The following is a 21650-nucleotide window of genomic DNA, read 5'->3' as shown; positions in this document are numbered from 1 at the left end:
TGGGAGGTGTGGTAGGAAATGAGGTCTCAGAGAGAGCTGGGGTCAGCTCAGGTGTTAAATCGTAAGGCCGTAATTTTGAAGAGTAATCTTCAAGAAAGTTATCAGTAGAGACATTTCTGAGCTTGTCTTTCGAACCCCCAACTTGTGTCTTCCTTTCTGGCCTCTGACGCATCTCTCCAAGCCCCCTCCCTCCTAATACCCGATCCCCACCGCAGCTCCTTCCACAGTTCTCTGGGAAGAGCTGGCTTGCTTTGGCATAGACATGGCCTCCAGCTCAGCTGACCGGAAGGAGTCACCTCCAGTTTCAATTTCAAGTGAAATCGGATCCACCCAAGCTGGGCATTTCCTGTGGTCAGATGAATAAACTCAGGAGAAGGAAGCTGCAGAGGCCGCTGAGGGCAAAGACAGACGGGGGTCTGGTGAAACGGGACAGGGTCGGGTGCAGGAGGTCCCCCAAACCTTCCCACACAGAGAGAAACTGGGGCAGCAAAGAGGCCCTGCTCAGGTTCCAAACCTGCCACGTGTCTCCCCCAAGGCCCACCTCCCTCCCTCAGGTCACCAGGACACTGAGACGGGAGGACATCTGGAGCCCATTAGGATGGCATCAGTCCACACAGAGATGTTTTGACTGGACCCTTGGATGGGATTTCTTGTACATTAACGGTGTTTATTTTCCAATAAAGATTCTTAAGACAAGATTGCAGCCCTGGCCTCTTCTGAGGGGACGACCAGCCAGAAAGCCTGATCCTGTGACCCAGGGGTCCTTGGGTCTCCCGGGGGGGCAGGGGAAGCTTCTAGACAGGGTATATCACCTTGTAGACAGTCAGAACCCAAGGTCCCTCTCATGAGACATGTAAACAGGTCAAAACCTCAGTTCGTACTCCACATATAGAAAAATGTAATTTCCCTGATTTTTTAATAGTAATAATATTCATAACAGGCCAGGCACAGTGGCTCATGCCTGTAATCTCACACTTTGGGAGGCTGAGGCAGCCGGATCACTTGAGGTCAGGAGTTCAAGACCAGTCTGGCCAACATGGTGAAACCCCAACTCTACTAAAAAATACAAAAATTAGCGGGGAATGGTGGTGTGCACCTGTAGTCCCAGCTACTTGGGAGACTGAGGCAGAAGAATTGCTTGAACTTGGGAGGCAGAGGGTTCCTCCACTCCAGCCTGGGAGACAGGGTAAAAAAAAAAATTGAAACAGTAGCCAACACTTACTGTGTTAGGAAATGTTGTCTGACTGGTAACTGGGGTGGGGTGGATGGAACGAGGATGGCTCAGTAGGGTCAATGGACAAAAGCGCTTTGGTTTATTTGGAGCCCTAGAAGTCATGGCAAAGACCTTAGGATTGATGCTGATTGGAGATGGGAAGCCATTGATGCTGATTGCAGATGGGATGCTGACTGTAGAGGGGTGAGGGGTTAAAGAGCAGAGGAGTGGCAGAGATGACTTCCATTTTTAAAGGATTATTATGGCTGCCCAGGGCTAATAGACCTTGGGAACCATGGAGAGCAGGTTGTGATTAGAAAGACCAGGCAGGAGGCCACTGTCATGGCCCAGAGAGGGGACAACGATGGCTTGGAGTGGGGTGGTGGTAGTGGCGGGTGATGAAAAGCAGACAGAGGTGTGAGTGTGCCTGGAGACATCCGGAGCACAGCACTGTGTCCAGAGCATGGGGAGAGCCGTGAAGAGGTAGCAGAAGACCAGAAGACAGGTGGCTGTAGGCACAGGTGTGTGCTCCAAGCAGTCTGGCCCTCACCAAAGTCCTCACCCCACAGCTTGGAAGGGAGCAGTTGAATATGATTAATATCTGTGAGCCGAGGGCAACAAGGATCCAGCAGAGAATCTCTGGATCTGCAGGTGCCCTGAGGATGGGAACCCCACAGCTACTGTGTGGACAGTGACTGAGGACCAAAGCATGACAGATGGCCAAGTCACCCCAAGGCCAGCCCCCACCCACTTCCTTCAAATACTTGGCACTGCATGAACTCAGAATTCACCCATGGAAAGTGCAGGAGCCTCAACTCGATGAAACTAAGATTTCAACATTCCCCAAAAATGGAGACTCAAATTGCCCTGGAGAAATACAGAGAGGTTCGTTTCCTGCCTGCCTATGTTTGTGGAATGATATTTGGGTACTATTTCCATCTCTCTAGATTGGAACCTCATGCCTAGTTTATTTCCTGTTGCAGGGGTTGAAAACTTTTTTTTTTTGAGACAGAATTTCACTCTTGTTGCCCAGGCTGGAGTGCAGTGGTGCGATCTCAGCTCACTGCAACCTCCGCCTCCCGGGTTCAAGCAATTCTCCTGCCTCAGCCTCCCGAGTAGCTGGGATTACAGGCGCCTGCCACCACATCTGGCTAATTTTTTGTATTTTTAGTAGAGACAGGGTTTCATCTTGTTGGCCAGGCTGGTCTCGAACTCCTGACCTCAGGTGATCCACCCGCCTCATCCTCCCAAACTGCCGGGATTACAGGCATGAGCCACCGTGCCTGGCCAGCAAACTTTTTGCAAAGAGCCAGAGGGTAAACATTTTAGGCTTTGCAGGCCAAGGTAAGAGTTAGGCTCCTGCAACTATTCAACACTGCCACTGTAATGCAAAAGCAGCCCTGGACAATACATAAACAAATAGACAGGGCTGTGTTTCAATAAAATTTATTTGCAAAGACAGGTGGTGGATCCCAAGGTCTCTCCAGTGTTTACCATGAGATCTTGGATGTGATATGGGATCAAGAAATATTTGCTAACCTGATGAATGGTTCCTGCTGCTCACCAGCTTGGAGGCCTTGAGCGGGTCCCTTCTCTGAACTTCCATTTTTTTCATTGGTAAGATAGAGAGACTGGGCCAAATGAGCTTTGATATTCTATGAAGGTGAGCTATGGTTTGAGAATTTCAAGGTATTGACAGTATTCCTGTATTATTTTCTTATCTTACAAAGGCATGGTGTGGGTGCATGTGGTGCAAGGATTTATAAGTTTTCTTGGTCCTCTTCTTTGATTAAACTTTATATAGCTATTCCATTATCTAAAACAGGGGTCCCCAGTGCCTGGGTCAGAGCCTGGTACCAGTCGTATTACCACCTGAGCTCCGCCTCCTGACAAGTCAGCTGCGGCATTAGATCCTCATAGGAGTTCGAACCCTATCGTGAACTGCGCATGATGGAGATCTAGGTTGTGCACTCCTTATGAGAATTTAATGTCTGATGATCTGTTACTGTCTCCCATCACCCCCAGATGGGACCATCTAGTTGCAGGAAAACAAGCTCGGGCTCCCACTGATTCTACATTATGGTGAGTTGTATAATTATTTCATTATATATTACAATCTAATAATAATAGAAATAAAGTGAACCGTAAAGGTAATGCGCTTGAATCATCCTGAAACCATTCCCTGCCCCCATCTGTGGAAAAACTGTGTTCCACCAAACCAGTCCTTCATGCCAAAAAGGCTGGGGACCGTTGGTCTCAAAGGTCTCATCATGAACTACTGTGGGTCTCTGATCTTCCCAGTTCACCAGGGGAAGCCTGGCCTCCCTTCCCTCCTGTCCCCTGGTCTGTCTTCCACAGCAACCGCATTATCAGGACTCTTCCTATAAATGACAGGAACTTAAACTGGCTGTGGCATAAAGCAAATTTTTTAGTTTATGAAACTAAAAAGGCCATGCTTTTTATTATGGCTTCTAGCACATTCCAGTGGGAAACCCCAAGGAGCCCAAGATCTCTAAATTTATTTATTTATTATTATTTTTTCTTAGACAAAGTCTTGCTTTGCCACCAGGGCTGGAGTGCAGTGGCTTGATCTTAACTCACTCTGACCTCTGCCTCCCAGGTTCAAATGATTCTCCTGCCTCAGCCTCTCAAGTGCTGGGATTACAGGTGCGCGCCACCACGCTTGGCTAATTTTTGTATTTTTAGTAGAGATGGGGTTTCACCATGTTGGCCAGGCTGCTCTCGAACTCCTGACCTCAGGTAATCCACCTGCCTCAGCCTCCCAAAGTGCTGGGATTACAGGCGTGAGCCACCACACCCGGCCCAAGATCTCTAAATTTGAACCTGGGCTTCCAGGTATTTTAGTCAAGGTAGGAAGATAAAAAAACATGTTTAGCTTTGTTTATAACTTTTAAATATTAGACACATGGTACGTCGGGCTCCATTTATACTCTTGTCCTGGGGCCCAGAGATGAACTGGATGTGAGTGAGCTGGCCTTGCCAACCGTGGGAGGACAAGAGGGAGGATCCTGACAGCTCTGCCACACGCTGGCCCTGGAGTAGGTGGCTCAGCCATGCTCTCCAAAATGGGACTCAAAATAAAATCTAAGTCACAGGGTTAATGTGAAAAGCGAGTGAGATAATGTGTGCAAACGTGCTTTGAGAAATCCTATACAACGATAAGGAATTATTATTATTACTGGAATTGATTAGACGCAGACATGGTTTCATCACCCTCCTGAGAGATGGTGCCTGGAACCCAGAGGATTCTGGGAAACGTCTGACTGAAGGTGAATAGAGAAGGGCTGTGTGCAGACGTGAGATCAAGCAATGGGCTTAACGTGGTGGGAAATCTTAGGAGCTCCGTAAATATTTAGCTTGTCAACTAGACGTCAGCTGAGATCTACCTGTGCTACAAGCTTCCTGAAAACGCAAGCCGCGCGCCCGGGTATCTAGCCCGAAGCCCTCTTGGGCAGTGCCACCCCATGGAAAAGGGGGAATGGTCCTCTCCATCCTGCCCTCCCCCATTCCTGGGAAATCATGATCTAGAAAGAGGCTCAGAGCAGTGCCCAGAGGTGTGTGGAGAAGAGTCCAGAATCCAGGGGTGTTCAATCTTTTGGCTTCCCTGGGCCACATTGGAAGAAGAAGAATTGCCTTGAGCCACACATAAAACACACTAACACTAATGATATCTGATGAGCTTTTAAAAAATTGCAAATATAAATCTCATAATGTTTTAAGAAAGTTTACGAATTTGTGATGGGCCACATTCAAAGCTGTCCTAGACCACAGGTTGGAGAAGCTTGGTATAGACAGAAGGAAAGAGATACAGATACAGATGGAGGAGGTGGAGGGAAGAGGAGAGAAGAGGGTTGCAAGAGAGAGCCGAGTGGAGATTCCTAGCATTTCAGAGTTGAAAGAGAATCCACAGATTCTGCCCAACCTCCCAGGAAGTGGAAGCTCAGAGAGGTCAAGCACCCTGCCAAAGGTCACACAGCCAAGCATTAGCCTCAGAAAAGAAAGATGAGCTACCAAGCAGGGGCGGTCTGTTGCAAGTGAGGGATGGGACCAGTTAGATGACTGCACAAGCTACCCCAAACAGACCCCCACCCAGCGGGGTAAGCCCTAAGCAAGGCGGGGGGTGGGTGGTGATGGCATGGTCAGGAACAAGGTGGGGACTAACATTTACTGAGCACCCACGATGTGCCAACCTCCATGCTGGGCACTTTTCTTACTGACCAAGTATCGTCCTTGGATTATTCTTGGTTCACAAACTCAGGTGTTTTTTGTTTTGTTTTGTTTTTATTAAGCACTTTCTTTTGGTCTCCAAGCCATGTGTCAAGTCAGTGAACTGCTGGGGAGGCCAAACTCAGTCCTTCTTGGGGTTCCCAACCAATGCTTGTGCGAATATCCTGGGTAGCCCAAGCCATGGGAGTGGTGGGCGGGGGCACTGTTATCAGTGCAAAGTCCCTACATAATGGGTTGTCTAGTTCCCACATGTTCCCTCCAGGACAGGAGGCCCCAATCATTCATGCTGTGTTTAAAGCACAAAACCTTGGGTGGGTTCAGGGGCCCCCATGGCTGAGGACTAAATTTCCCAGGTGCAGCACAGAGCCATCAGCTCTGAGGGACAGCTGTCAAGAGCACAGAATCTGGAGCCAGACTATGGGTTCAAATCACAGCTCTACCACTAGTTAACTGTGCAAACCTGGCAACTGGCTTAACCTCTCTGTGCCTAACTATGAAGTGGAGATTAAACGTGATGGTGAGGATTAAATGAGCAAAACCAAGTCAGGTGCTTAGAACAGGGCCTGGCACACAGTATGCATTCAATAAATGACAACCATTACCACCAAGTTTCTCCTTCTTTCTTTCTTTCTTTCTTTCTTTCTTTCTTTCTTTCTTTCTTTCTTTCTTTCTTTCTTTCTTTCTCCTCGGCCTCAAAGGCTCTCTTTTCTCTCCTTTCTCTCTGTGACACCTAGCAATGGGCTGTCCCTCTGGGCTAATAACGATAAGGATACAGTGCTGCTGGGAGGATGCAGGCCGTGAAGCCAGTGGAGGGCTCTGCACAGCATTTCGTATCTGTTTCTATCATTTTTATATTTATTATAATCACCAGTCTGAGTCTCATTAGCCCCAGAATTAGGCCCAGAAGCATCTATTTGTAGTAAATGGGAAAGTGCACAGCAAAAGCACAGGAAAATGAGGTGTAAGACCCCAATGCCTGGTGCAGAGGAGGAAGAGGGAGGGAGCTGGATGTTCAGCTCTCCTGGCCTCCTGGAGTCAGCTCTGGCCTTTGCAGGAAGAGGGAGGGAGGCAGATGTTCAGCTCTCCCGGCCTCCTGGAGTCAGCTCTGGCCTTTGCAGGTCTCTGGCCCCTCTGACCGCAGCTGACCTTGCTTCTTGCCAATATAGACCCTCTGGCTTGGCTGCCCTTCACATCTCTCTGACCTTTCCCCCCTGTGACCGCCCCACCTTGGCCTGCTGCTTCTCACTTGACCAAGGTCTTCAATGACCTTGGCCAAACTTCTTTAGCCAAGCCAGGTTCCAGGTCCCAGTGCCATCACACTCATTTGGCAGGTCAGAACACCCAGGCCCCATGAGGAACTGTGACTTTCCCTGGGCCACAATGTGAGGTGGGGACAGATCCAGGATGCGGGTTTCCTGACCTTCAGCCTCTTGCTGCTTACACCGGCAAGACTGGCTGTTCGGGTTGATTGACAAGCACACAATCTAGACCAGCAGCTCTCAGCCGGGGGTGATTATGCCTCGGAGAGAACATTTGACAACGTCTCAAGACATCTTTGGTCATCATCACTGGAGGTATGGGGCTGCCACTGGTGTCTTGTGAGTAGAATCTGGGAATGTTGCTAATGATCCTGTAAAGCACAGGACAGCCCCCACCCCCGACTACAAAGAATTAGCTAGCCTCAAACAACAATCAGTTGAGACCCTGGGCTAGATTCACATGCAGCGTTAAGCCTTGGATAAATTATTTAACTGGTTCTTCTGTGAAATAATGATAACGCTACTGAGCGCATAGAACTTGGAGAGGATCTAATGACCTAAGGCATGAGAGAGCTGAACGTCGTGTCTGGTGGAAAGCGAGTTTTCGCTCATAAATGGGGGAGGAGGTGAGCGCGTGGGCTATTGTGCCAGCAGGGATGGCTGCTGACAGCGTCCCATATCTAAACTCCAGAAAGTGCCGGGGAGGACCACAATCTTCAAAACCAAGCTGAAGTGGCACACTTGTGTCTAAAGGAATTTTGAGTTTCTTTCCCCCTCCCTGCCATTGGCATTTGAGAATTCGAGTGTTAATTTCAAAGAAGAAACTGCATTACCTGTTCTCCATGCAGATCTGAGCCTCCATTTTAATTTGCCTTCATTATCTCTTTCTCTTATTAAGAATGGTAAATCTGTTTTGTGTTTTCATTATTCCATTAGCTCGAGGAAGCTCATCAGTAATGTGGGGAGCTGCCAACATAAATAGCACAATTTTCATACAAGCGAGGCAATAATTGACTTAAATCGCTATTCTGCGGAGGCTGAGGTTCACAATTAGAGAAAGCAGTGTGATTTGAAAACGAGTTACAGTTGATTGGATTTTAGGGGAAACCAGGTTTGGAATGTGTTAATTGCATTCCGCCTAAACACCAGGTCTAAATGAAGCAGCCAGAGATTTAGGTAAATAACAAAATCTTCTCCAGATATGGCCCCAAATTGCTTAATAGGATGGGAGAGATCTGATTAAGATGGGGAACTAATGGCCTCACTGTATTTCTGGGGTGACAGGCTGAAACTCTCATCTTGGAAACTCCTCGAGATAAGCGAGTGACCAACTTCAATCTGTTTTTCAATCTGGTCTGGCTGAGTTTTGGGATCAAATGTCAATGGTACCTCCTTCCTGGGCCTCTTTTCCTGTCCCACCCTACAAATGGTCCATCAACAAATCCTGTGGGCTCTAATCTTAAAAAGCATCCCGAATCTGGTGTCCACTGCCACCACCGTCTCTCACCTGAACTACTGCGGTCACCTTCTCATTGGTCTCCTGGTTCTGTCCTTGCCTGGGGAGCCTCTTCTCTGTACAGCAGCTAGAGAATCCTGTTAGAACCTAAGTGGAACTATGTCCTGCCTCTGCTCAAAACCTGGCTGGGCACGGCGGCTCATGCCTGTAATCCCAGGACTCTGGGAGGCTGAGGTGGGAGGATCACTGGAGCCCAGGAGTTCAAGACCAGCCTGGGAAACATTGTGAGACCCTGTCTCTAAAGAAAACAATAAAAAAAAAAATTAGCTGGGTGTGGTAGTGCATGCCTGTAGTACTACTCAGGAGGCTGAGTGGGGAGGATGGCTTGAACCCAGGAGTTCAAGGCTGCAGTGAGCTATGATTGCCCCATTGCACTCCAGCCTGGGCAACACAGTGAGACCCTATATCTGAAAACAAACAAACAAACAAACAAAAAACCCTCCAGTGGCTTCCATCTCATTCCAGGAAAAGCGGAGTCTTTCTGATGGCTTGTAAGACCATCTTGACCTGCCCATAAACTTGTTGAACCCGTCACTCACCAGGGATGCCCAGGGTCCTTCATGGTTGGCTTGATTCTGTTTCCATCCCATCTCTCAGTATTTTCTCCTCCCATCTCTCAGTATTTCTCCAGCCACCTGGAATTACTTAAAGACCCCTGATGGTTCCAGGCTCGGCCTTGTCACAGAACCTTTGTGTGTACTGTCCCCACCTCATTCACTGGCTTAGTTTCTAAGCTTCCCTGAGATCTTACTTGTTTTATGCCCCCTTCCTTCTCCAATCCTTCTTTTTAAGGTTTCCAGGAATGCAGAGAAAAAAGCAAAAACTAGTGGAAACTGTTACTTCATGTGACTAATTCCCCCACCCCCCAGGTTTCTGGACTTTTCTCCTCCTCCCCTAGCTGCACAGATGAAGTGGGAACAGATATATTAATACTTATATCCAATGACTATGCTTCCTGGTCACAGTTGATTGGTCCAAAGTGGACCAATCAGAGTCCTTCCCTGGGAATGTGGAATGTGACGTAAAGATTTGAATCTTGGTCTCACTTCACTTTTATGTTTCTCTCTCTCTCTCTCAATCTTTTGCATAATCTCTTTATACATAATTTTACATGAAGGAATACATGTAATGATGTGCATTCCTTATTCCCTTATTCCTATTTCCTCACTCTTTTATCTACATTATCCCTGTGGCCCAGTGCTAGAGACCCAGGTTAACAACCCAGCATGTGTTCTTTCAAACTATTTTTATTTGTGCTTATATTTGCATCTGTGTTTTTATGTGATACATATGTATAGACTCACAAATATACGCGAATTAATTGGGATTTTTCCATCAGTCTTTGTTTTATAAAAATGGGATTCTATTTTACACTCTTTTCTACATTCTATTCTTTTTTCTTATTCAAAAATATCTCATAGAAATGTCTCCAAGCCAACGAATAAAGCTTTAACTTATTCTGGCAAATAAATGGTAGCATTTATTTGCAAATAAATAGCACAAGAAAGGATGGCTATTATTCTGTGAGTAAAAGCAGAGAAAGTGGGTCCGAAGATGGAGGGAAGAGAGCAGAGACCCAGAGAGGAAGACTGAGAGAAGCCACAGAGATAGGTGCCCTCTGAGTCAAGCTGGCATAAAGCCAACTGGCCTCGCAGCCTCAGGGCTCCAGGACACCCCACGCCTTCTTTATAAGAAAGTGGCCCTGTAGGGGTTTCAGGCAATGTGGTGGGTATCAGTTGGTTGTAACTAACAGGTCTTAACTAACGCAGGTGAATCTGCAATGGTGCTTTATATGGCTATTTGGGCACTTTATGGACCTTGGGGAATGAAGGTAGGGTTAGTCAAATTCCTCTGTCGGCCGGGGGTGGTGACTCACACCTGTAATCCCAGCACTTTGGGAGGTTGAGACAGGAGGATCATTTGAGCCCAGGAGTTTGAGACCAGCCGGGTCAACATAGTGAGACCTCATCTCCACAAAAAATTAAACAATTAGGCAGGTATGGTGACACACTCCTGTAATTCCAGGTACTCGGGAGGCTGAGGTGGGAGGATTGCTTGAGCCCCGGAGGTGGAGGCTGCAGTGAACTATGATCATGCCACTGTACTCTAGCCTGGGCAACAGAGTGAGATCCTGTCTCAAAAAAAAAAAAAAAATCCTTTCAATGACATATTGTCATAATTGGTTCAGACAAGCTCTAACCCTTGGTTGATTTGTTCATTCATGTGTTAATTCTATTTTATTCCATCCTTTGCTTCCAACTCCTGCCACTGTCAGCTGCCCAGATGTGTTTTCTTTTTCTTTTATTTTGTATGATTCGGGATAACATATGCGAGCATTTTTGTATGTGTGTGTGTTTTAAGTGTGCCACATTATGTGATAGACTCCCTCTTTTGTTTATGTGTGTGTGTTTGTTTTGTTTTTCATCTTGGGAGCAACCCACAGCTGTGCTCGTGTTTATAAATCTATTTAGTTCCTCTAATCTCCATTCCCCATTCACCTGCTTCCCCCTGGCACGCTTGAGTTATCCTTTTGTTTGTAGGCAGTTTGCAAAATACCTATAATTGCTTTGTGTGCATCTATTTTACCTTATGTAAAATGGCATTGAGCTGTGTTGTCAAGACCTCTCTGTACTGCTGTGCACACATCTGGGGCACTGCTTGTAACCATCCCATAAGATGCTTAGTGCACACCTGGCACATTTTACTTATGGTCAAAGAATGACTCTGAAACATTTAGCTAGTTATCTGCATGCTGTTTAGCTCTGACATGAAGAAGACTCATGTTCCTAGATTGTTTCAAGCAACAAAGGCAAAAACAGAATTTTGAGAGCAAAGAGGTCAGTTTGAAAAATTCAGTTTGAGTTGTTGACTAGAGGAGATGAGGAAGCTAATTTGGCCGTGTATGGGTTTGTTTTTGTGTTTTGAGATGGGGTCTCACTCTTGTTAGCAGTAGTAGTTATCTGTACGGGTCTGCAGCAACCTCAGTTCTTGCCTCCTCAGAAGACAGAATTCGACCGAGGCGCAGAAGGCAGAAGGAGCGGCTGAGGCAAGTTTTAGAGCAGGAGTGAAAGTTTATTAAAAAGCCTCAGAGCAGGAATGAAAGAAAGGGAAGTGCACTTGGAAGAGGGCCAAGCGGGCAACTCGAGAGACCAAGTGTGCGACCTGACCTCTTGACTTGGGGTTTGATATGGTGGCAAGCCTCAGGGGTCCTGCGTTCCTTCTCACCACTCCTGAGATCTTATTGGGAAGCCTCTGGCCACCCATTTCAGGTGTTTTCTATCTATTAAGGGACTGCCTTTCCCTCATGCCAGCTGTGGCCAATTATTACTTTAGAAAGCCAGTTAACAACTGCCTGACCGTCACCTGATGGTTGCGTGACACTCCTGGTGTGTGTTGAGGAGGATCCTCTCCTGCCCTGCTCATACCTGACCAGCTACCTACTATAACGCTCCAGCCCCCAGGCTGGAATGCAGGGGTTCTCACTGCAGCCTGGAACATCTGGGCTCGAGTGATCCTCCCACCTCAGCCTTCTGAGTAGCTGGGGCTACAGGTGCATGCTACCATGTCTGTTTAATTCTCTTTTTTGTAGAGATGGGGTATCACCGTATTGTCCAGGCTGGTCTCAAACTCTTGGCCTCAAGCGATCCTCCTGCCTCAGCCCCCTAAAGTGCTGGGGTTACAGGTGTGAACCATCGCGCCCAGCCTGGATTTTCCAAAAACCTGCAGAGTATGAGTGTGGGGCGGTCACGATGCCTCTGAGCAATGAGCAAGAGCATCTCTCCGCCAGCTTTTCCACCTGCGGTGTCCAGGTGGGCCCATTCTTCCTAAGAACTTCTCCCACCATCAAAGGGAGGGACTCCCAGGGTGCCTGCAGCTCTCACCACCCCCAACCATGTTGCGATGAACATCCACACCTGTAGGTCCTATGCAAGGATCTCTAGGCTGTGAATTCTCAATGGGGGTGATACAGCCCCCTGGCGGGCGAGAACTGATTCTTAACGCGTCGGAATACTCTTTGTTTAAAATTGTGGCAGAATACACATAAAATAAAATTGACCATTTTAGCCATTTTAAAATGTGCAGCTCAGTGGCATTGAGTACATTCACATTCTTGTGCAACTGTCACCACTGTCCATCCACAGAAGTCTTTTCTACCCATCAAACACTAACTCCACATTCCCCGCCCTCCCAGACGCTGGCAACCACCACTCTACTTTCTATCTCTAGAATTCTGACTACGCTAGGTACATCATACAATATTCTACAAATACTGTAGAATCACACAATATTTGTCTTTTGGGGACTGGCTAATTTCACTTAGTATAGTGTCCTCGGGATGCATCCATGTTGTAGCATGTGCCACAATTTCCTTCCTTCTTAAGGCTGAATAATATTCCACACTATGTACAATAGCACATTCTGTTTATCTATTCATACTATTCATATCCATCAATGGACACTTAAAAATCTTACTTTTTTTTTTTTGAGACAGTCTCTCTGTAGCCCAGGCTGGAGTGCAGTGCTGCAATCCCAGCTCAGTGCAACCTCCACTTCCTGGGTTCAAACAATTCTCCTGTCTCAGCCTCCCGAGTAGCTGGAATTACAGGTGCACACCATCACACCCAGCTAATTTTTGTATTTTTAGTAGAGACAGCGTTTCACCATATTGGTCAGGCTGGTCTTGAACTCCTGACCTCAGGTGATCCACTCTCCTCGGCCTCCCAAAGTGCTGGGATTACAGGCGTGAGCTGCCATACCCAGCCAAATCTTACCTTTTTTATGTATAAAGCACACATATACCTACAGCACACAAACAGATATGTATGCAATATCTCTATAGTTCTAAAATTTCATTAAAGGGGGAATTAGAAAAAAAAAATCTTAAAAGGCTCCTTAAGGGATAATGACTGTTGACGCTGTGGACCGGATAATTCTCACTGTGGAGCTGTCCCGTGCATTGGACAATGTTTAGCAGCACCCTGAGCTTCCACCCACTGGATGCCAGTAGCACCTCCTTCCCAGCTGTGACAAACAAAAATGTCCCCAAGCATTGCCATGTGTCCCTAGGGGTGCAAGATCACCAAGGTTGAGAACTGCTGCTCTGGGCCCTGCCCCAGAGGGTGGGCTGCCTGTTGAGAGCCTGTGCATTGTCACTTTCTCTGAGTGCTGCCTGGTGGCTCTCCTGAGGGGCCATCCTTTTACCAGCAGTGCCCAAGCATTTCCGTGGGGGAGAAAGTTTCATGGTGGAGCCTGGGCTAAAGCATGGGGTGGCCCTGAAATGAGCCAGAGGAGGACAAGAAGCCTGCCAAGTTCAGCACAAAGGCCCAGGGTTTCTTGGCACAGAGTCCTGGTGGCCTCTGGGTTACCTTACCCAGCAGTGTGATCAGAGATGACCAACACCCTGACCCTGTTCGTTCCTGGGCGTCAGGCTCCAGAGGGCACCTTGAATGGACAAAGCTCAGGTGTTTACTTCTAACAATACTCCTGTCACTCCTCCCAGCCACTTCCCCACCTTTCCTGAGCACGTCCCCCACCCGACACCCCCAAGTCTTTGTATGTATTCATTCCTCTAATTGACAGGTATTTATTGAGCAACTACTAGATGCCAAGTACAGTGTTGTGCTCTGAGATACGATCGTGAATAGGGCTGGCCAGCTCCCCATCCCAGCCTCACCCAGGAGCTTTCAGAAGGCTGAGGTGCTCTCAGGTCTGCACCCCCTCCAGCCTGGGGTGTCAGCAATCCTGGAGAAGGGACACCTAAGCTGAAACCTCAAGGGTGAGTCCAACCTGTTTCTATCAGCTTTGGATAACAGCAACGATTACAATAATGCTGGTCCCTGAACTTACCACGTGCCAGCCACTGCTTCCAGCCCCTCTCCAGTGGGTCCCTGCCCATTCCTGGGCATCAGGAACTGGAGGACAAGCCAGGACCCTCAGCAGCTTCTAAAGCTGTGCATCATCCGCCCTTGCTCTTACTTCTCCCTGACCTCACCTTCCAGCACTTCTGCTGACTCACTTTATTCCAGCCACACTGACATCCTGACAGATCTTTCCAACACAGCAGGCATACTTCTGCTGCAGGGACTTCGTCTGTGCTGTTCTGGTCACCTGGAATATACTTTTCCTCACCTTCCTCAGGTGACTGTTCAAATGTCACCTTCTTGTCATTCTACTTGCCATTATAGTCCTTCTCCCTGCCGGGTCCCACCTGGAAGCACTGCTTTATTTTTCTCCTTCCCACTGAGCACCATCCCCCATTTCCTGTATTTTATATTTTCATCTTGTCCGTTTGTCTGTCTCTTGTTTGTCTGTCTCTCCCTATGATATGGTTTGGCTCATCTTGAACTGTAGCTCCCACAATTCCTATGTGTTGTGGGAGGGACCCAGTGGGAGGTGATTGAATCATGGGGGCGGGTCTTTCCTGTGCTGTTCTTGTGATAGTAATTAAGTCTCGTGAGATGTGATGGTTTTACCAAGGGGCGTTCCCTGCACATGCTCTCTTGCCCACCACCATGTAAAAAGTCCTTTTGCTTTTCCTTCATCTTCCGCCATGATTGTGAGGCCTCCCTAGTCATGTGGAACTGTGAGTCCATTAAACCTCTTTCCTTTATAAATTACCCAGTCTTGGGTATGTCTTTATTAGCAGCATGAGGATGGACTAATACACCCCATTAGAAAGTAAATTCCTTGAGGGCTGGGATTCATCTGCCATGTTCAGTGCTGTACTCCCAGCATTTGCAACCAAGCCTGGCACATAGTAAGTGCTCAAGAAATATGTGTTGGATTGGCTGGGCATGGTGGCTCACAGCTATAATCCCAACATTGGGAGGCCAAGGCAGCGAATTGCTTGAGCTCAGGAGTTCAAGACCAGTCTGGGCAACATGGTGAAACCCCATCTCTACAAAAAATACAAAAATTAGCCAGGCATGGTGGTGCACACACCTGTAGTCCCAGCTACTCAGGAGGCTGAGGTGAGAAGATCCCTTTAGTCCGGGAGGTGGAGGTTGTAGTGAGATCACGCCACTGAACTCCAGCCTGGGTGACAGAGCCAGACCCTATCTAAAACAAACAAACAAACAAACAAACAAAACTGTTGCATTATTGAACTGCATATACTCCTCCCAAAAGCCCTACGAGTTTGATCAAAACCACCTGGAGAGCCTGTGAAAACAGATTCTGAATCAGTGAGGCTGGGGCTGGGTTCGAGATTCTGTGGTTCTACAAGTTCTCAGGGGATGCTGATGCTCCTGGCCCTAGGCCACACTCTGAGCAGCAAGGACTTAGTGGCTGTGACCACCGTCCGCTTTACAGATAGTGAAATAGCCCACACAGGTTAATGACATTGCTAAAGGCACTGGCTTTAAGGAACGAGGATGAGTTTGAAGTCTGTCAGGCTCCCACAGCTGATGTTGATGACAGTGACCACCCTACTGTATTGCAGACTCCAAGGCTGAAGCATCCTTCAGGTGCTTGCAAAACTGAACTCTCTCTAAGTTTTCCAAGAGAGAAGATCATGGATACCAACTCAGGGGCTCTGTGACCAACTTTGGAGGCCTGTCCTGCAGTGCAGCTCCCAGTCTGACCACAGATCCTAGGACCTCAAACTGTCTTCCTCCATGTGCCCTCCACGTCTCTCTTGTGCTGGGATTTGCGTGTGTGTTGGGAACCATTCAGAATGCTTTCTTGGCATGTTGACAATGAAGGGAGCTCTCTCTGGGCCAAAGCTTGCACTGGGTGAGTGGGAGCTGGTAAACTTGATAAGCCAATTGGGAGGAAATTTGCAGCATCATCTCATTAGAAGGTCAAGGGCATGCTCTCACGCTTACCTGCCCCCAGAGCTCTAGAGGAAAGCCCAGAGAGGAGGGCAGAGGTGGTCATTTTATCCAGAGCCTTCTAATTCCTTGGTTCCATCTGAACTCAATATCGCAGAGATGGACTCTTGGACACGCTCTCATATTGCCTCTCAGCTCTTTACCAGGGGCTAATTACAGAGGCTGCTATTCCCAAATCTAACTAACCTTGCCCACGATCAAAGCACAGTCTCTCTCTCCCCAGGCTGATCTATATAACGGCGACCTTGCTGCCCCAGCTCAGTGCAGCCGCCAAGCTCATGGCCATCTCCGCATCTCCATTTCCTCGGTACTGACTGCCCTCTGAGCTGTGCCCCCGCCCGAGAACCCACTCCTAGTTCTGGTTTCTCTCACAAGCAGCCCCATAAAGGCTGGTGAGGCCACATCTGGAAGGCTTGAGAGGCTGTCATAAACTCCATGTTTACCAGGGCTGGGCAGGTAACGTCAATGAGGAAGAGGAGTCGATGGGAGGGGGTACCTGAAAAGGCCTCGAAGGCTGCAAAGCTCTTCCCAAGTGGTTAAAAGTGATCCTGAGAGAAGAAGGCAAGCCCCGTGTGGCCAGGGAGCCCCCACCATTTTTTGTTTGTTTGTTTTGCTTTGTTTTCCAGCAAAGCCAAAATTTTAGAATTTTTTGCATTAACTCTCCCAATGGTTAAAGGTTGCAAACTAATTTGAAAGGATTTTTAAGCACTGCACAGACCACGAGGCATGTGTGATGGCCTAATTCAACCAACAGGGCCACCGGTTTGCAGTCTCACCTTAGAAAACTGAGGACAGAGTAAATGTGCATGAATGGGGGTCTCTATCAGCCAGGATCTGAGGAAGATATGGGGACACAGCTAAACAGAGTCACTGGAAGGGATTTTCTATTTACAAAGTATGGGCAGGGTGGAGGAAAGCCATGGGGACGGTGCCTCTGACACAGAGGTGCTCCTGGAATGACAGCCACGTGGAGGGGGCCACCTCACAGAGCCATGACTTGGGCTGAGGGAGGCAGCCATCACAGGTAGCTCTGCAGGCCAGGGACAGGGAATAAATTTCTACTTTGCATCGTATCTCCTCCCATCCTGCTAAAGGTCACTATCGGCCAAACGCAACCAGAGCACACCCACCCATGGGAGCCTGTTGGTGGAGCCCATGCAGGTGAGCCTCTTGGGCAGAAAGCAGGGTGGGGAAAAGTGAGGAGGTGGAAGGAAGGCATTGGCACAAGACCCCATGCCATGGTCACACCTGGCAGTGACCACGCCATCAAGTCTACCACTCTTGGCCAAATGAATGGAGGCCTCCATGTCCGTGTCACCTCTCAGCATTTCATATCATTTACTCTCATCTAACCATCACGTTCTTGTCCTCTAGACAATGCTGTGTCTTCCTGGCCATAGCCTTGGATCTTTTTGACCTGCATTTTGATTTTTAAAGGATATAGAAATAGAAATGAGGCTTGATGTCTGATATCCTGAGTTAGAATGTTGGCTCTGCGTGTGATGCTAGGTGAATCAGTTAGCCTCTCTGAGCCTCAATTTCCACTTCTGCAACAAGAATAGGGAAGGATAGTGATTTGTCCCTTGTAAGGTTGCTAAAGGCTTAGAGATGAGGGTCATATAGTACTGGTACAATGCCTGGTACTTTACAGACACGGAGCCATAACCTTGGGCCGAGGGTTGTAAAATAATAGCATATGTTGATGATGTATGTTGATGCTATTATTTTTAATGCTGTTCCTAATTATCCTCCTTATCTGCTCCAATTTATATCTTGGTTAATACCATCTCTCTTTAACCCAGACTCCCACTTGGCTCCCCCTAGTGGTCAGGTTGCTTCTCTTCCAGTGTGCTCTGGAGTCCTTTCTCCCTGGAATGCTGGCCTAAACTAGAGGGCAGGTGCACGCCAGCCCACCCAGCTGCACTCTGACCTCACTTTCAAGACAAAACTATCTTCCTAGCAATTACTCACTTTGCTAATCTGACACTGATTCCCTGGGCTCCCACTTGCATAAATCTCCCTGATTTTGACCCAAATAAGGAATCTGAAATCCAGTAGAGTATTGGGCATGATGTTTCTTCTGTGTTATTTATTATTGTGAAAAATTGGAAACAACCTCAATGTAGGAGAATAGGGGATGGGCTGAGTAGATGAAAGGATGCCCTGATGGCAGATAATGCAGCTGTTAGAGATATTTATGAAGTGTTTAGAGTGATGTAGAAAATGAGTACAATATAATTATGCAGGATTAAAATTATTTTCACAGGTATGATTGGAGCTGCGTATAGGAAAGTTGCCTCTGTGCACATTACACATGTATAAATTCAGCTATATTCGTTTTTAAAAAGAAACAAGAGAGAAAAAAAATCACTTAAACAGTGCAGGCAGTTCCTCTAGTTTAATGACTATTTGTCACTTGTTGAGTGTGAAGTGGGTGGTGTGAATCTGGAGGCCTTCACGGAGTCCTACCTCTCCTGAGAGCATCTCTTTCTGCCAAACAACTCTGGTGTTTCGAGACATGTAATTTCCATGCTACATACCTCCCAAATGCAAACCAACTACTCTATGTACAGACAAAACCATTCAAGAGCAATATAAGAGGTTTTCATGGGCATTTTTGCAGCTTTCTCCATAGGCATTTATCTTTATAGCCTAACCCAGTGTATGGGGAACTCCACTGTAGAAATAAAAACGGAAGCCTATATATAGAAAAAGATAAGAAGCAAATGCACCAAATACTACCAAAGGCTGAATATGAAGAAGTGGGAGTGATTTTTTTTCTGCCCTCTTCTTCTAGTCATTGAATTTTTTATTGAGCATCTACTATGTTCCAGATGCTATTTTATTCACTGAAGATAAAACAGTGAATTATAAAATGCAAAACGAATTGGCAGGTGGAGACAGATGATGAACATCTAACTAAGTGAAATATACATCAGGCTGGGGTTGATGTGTGCTTAGGAGAACAAAATCAAGCCAGGCAGGAGACAGGAAGTGCCAGGTTGCAGGTGCAGGTGTGGGTGGGGAAGGCCTTACTGAGAAAAAGATGCTCGAGCAAAGATTGGGAGGAGAGGAGAGAGTGAGAATGTTTGGGGGAAGAAGGTTTCAGGCAAGGGGAACAGCAAATGAAGGGTGCACAGAAAACAGCTAGGGGCCGTTGTGGCTGGAGCAGAGCCAGGGGCAGTGGCCGGCTGTGCTTTCTCTAGTGAGAGTCTGTCACTTGTATAATGGAAGTCAAAGCTTTTTATTATCTTTACAGGAAAATAAAATGGGGGGTGAAAGGGAAAAATCATCTTTTTTTCTCGCCTACGCGAAGCTGACAGTTTTCCTCTCTTTGCCCAGTTTCGCATCTGCACAAGGCTGGCCTCCTGCAGGCAACCCTTCAAGGCTGCCCTTTCCTGGGTCATCGTATGTTCAGCGTGAGAGATGCCATTCCAAAGGTTCAGAGCCGTGTGGCCTGTGGACTTGGGGGTGGGGGACACACCCCCTCCTTCCCTCAACCTCCCTCCCACCGCCTGCTGCCAAGGGCCGCCAAGAGAAATGTGGGCAAACCACACGGACCACCCCAGGCCTCCCAAGGGCACTTGGGGGTGATGCCAGCCCCAGGAAGGAGTCCTCAATAAAGATCCAAGGTGCTAACAAGAAGATGTCAATCCATTAACTCCACTTGAAGGGAAGAAAAAAAATGTCAATTACTGGTAATGTGAAACAAAAGAGTGGGAAATCGCAAATGACAGTCTTTTTAAGACGGCCCTAGGGCCACTTCCAGCTGACCCTGTGCATTAACCAAGCAGGGAGATTTTTTTCCTTGGCTGCTCCCTCCTGCGTCCCTAATAGCATAAAATAAAAAGATTTTAGATAAGATTTCATTCTGTGAATCAATTGGCAAACCACACTGGGCTTCACGGGGCATTCTGGTCTCAATCTAATGGAAATTATTATTTTTTAAAACGGGAATATCAATACTAAATTGGATCCTATAGCAGACAGCATATACAAAGGTTTTATATCAGCTGGCTTCTCTGGCTTCCACGGAGCTTTGCTTAACCCAGTACCTGCCAGCATCCCAGGGAAAGGATGAGAGAATGCGGTGGGAGAAAAATATCCCAAATCCTTGTTGTGACAGAATAGCCAGAAAGTTCTGGCCCCTCGCTGGTTTTCCTGGTTTTCCACGTTGGTCTTTGTTCTGTTCCTCAGATACCAAGCTCACCCCAGGACCTCTGTGCCTGCAGCTACTTGTGCCTGGAATGCTTCCCTTCATTTCCCTGCTCTTGGCTTTCCCCTCTGCAGAGGACAACTCTCCAGTTAAAAATCACTTGCTCAGGGAAGGTGGGTTTGACCTCAACCCTGTCCTGTTATTCACGCTGCCAGCATCCTTCGCAACCCATTGCAACTGTAATTACATATTAATTTATTTCATGTTTCTGCTACTTCTGCATAGATAGGGGGACATCCATGTATTAGTTCATTGCAATGTCCACTTTGGCGGCGGCCAGTTTTTCTAATCAGGAATGCGTTCTCTGGAGGTGATTGTCAAAAAGATCACGCTCCAGAGGTGGCATCTTCAATGGCACCACTAGCTTTATGCCAGGTCAACCCCAGAGGCTTCACTAACTGGCCCAAGGAACTTTCGACATAAGTGGTCACGGGCGGAAGTCAGGACTGATGCTTGGCAAAGTGGACGTGAGACATGCGTCGTTTTCAGTGGCAGCAGTGCTTTCCAAGATAAGTGGATGGGGGAATGTGTCAGAGCTGCTCCCGGCCCTTGCAGGAGCCGCAGGGTTTAAGAATCTAGGGCTGCACCGTCTCATGTGTAGCCACAAGTCACACTGTGGTTATCTTGACTTCAATTTCAATTAACTAAAATTCAATGGATACTTCAGCTCCTCAGTCACACTAGCGGCATTTCAAGGGCTCCATTGGCACATGTGGCTGGTGACTACCACATGGCACAGCACAGAGTAGAACATTCCATTACCATAGAGAGTGCTATTGGCCAGAGTTGCTCTAGGGGATGGCACCCTGGGTTTGATCCCTAAAAGGCCCAAGTCCTGACCACCATGGATGCTGGACAAATTCTACTGCTGCAATACTGTGGCCTTTGCCCCAGGGAGCCTCTTAAGCAAAGCATTTTCTGAGTCTCAGTTGGGCCTGAGATCTGGCAGTCCAGGAGCTTCCAGACTGGCTTGTGGAGCTGTTTTCCTCTGCTTGTTAATAAATTGTGGTTGGATGTGGTCTGAGAGGTGCCTTCATCAAAACCTGGATGCCAGCTACCAGCTGCTCCATTTATTCTTGTAGTTATTTAACAAATATTTATTGAGCATCTACTATGTGCCAGATGCCTTTTTGAGTGTCGGGACACAGCAGAGCACAATGCAGACAAGTCCTTGCTCTCATGCAGATTGCATTTTGTGGTACGGGTGGGTGGGACAGACACCCTGGAAACAAACTAATTAGATGTTGTCGGAGAGCAATAAACATTATGAAGAAAATCAGGCAGCGTGCCAGGATAGAGGGCAGCTTGGCGGGGGAGGAGTGAGCACTTGATGGAACAGAGGGGCCATCCACAGCAAAATCACTGT

General features: G+C 47.5%; 1 long non-coding RNA gene across 1 annotated transcript, besides 1 other annotated feature; it reads left to right on the top strand.

The window, feature by feature from the left end:
* Positions 7145-8344: an enhancer, noted in NCBI's record as "MED14-independent group 3 enhancer chr20:45405530-45406729 (GRCh37/hg19 assembly coordinates)". NCBI's record gives its function as "activates an origin of replication core promoter dependent on BRD2, BRD4, P300/CBP and CDK7 cofactors, and independent of MED14, by STARR-seq in HCT116 cells {active_cell/tissue: HCT116}" and the evidence as "EXISTENCE:reporter gene assay evidence [ECO:0000049][PMID:35650434]".
* Positions 13865-19932, top strand: LOC124904919 (uncharacterized). The gene is made up of 2 exons (XR_007067617.1): positions 13865-14012; positions 19411-19932. It is a non-coding gene; the product is annotated as an uncharacterized LOC124904919 (long non-coding RNA).
* The last annotated feature ends 1718 nt before the right edge of the window (positions 19933-21650 follow it).

The sequence above is a fragment of the Homo sapiens genome, chromosome 20 (assembly GCF_000001405.40).
Source record: "Homo sapiens chromosome 20, GRCh38.p14 Primary Assembly".
Classification (NCBI taxonomy): domain Eukaryota; kingdom Metazoa; phylum Chordata; class Mammalia; order Primates; family Hominidae; genus Homo; species Homo sapiens.
This window is presented reverse-complemented; position numbering and strand designations above follow the sequence as displayed.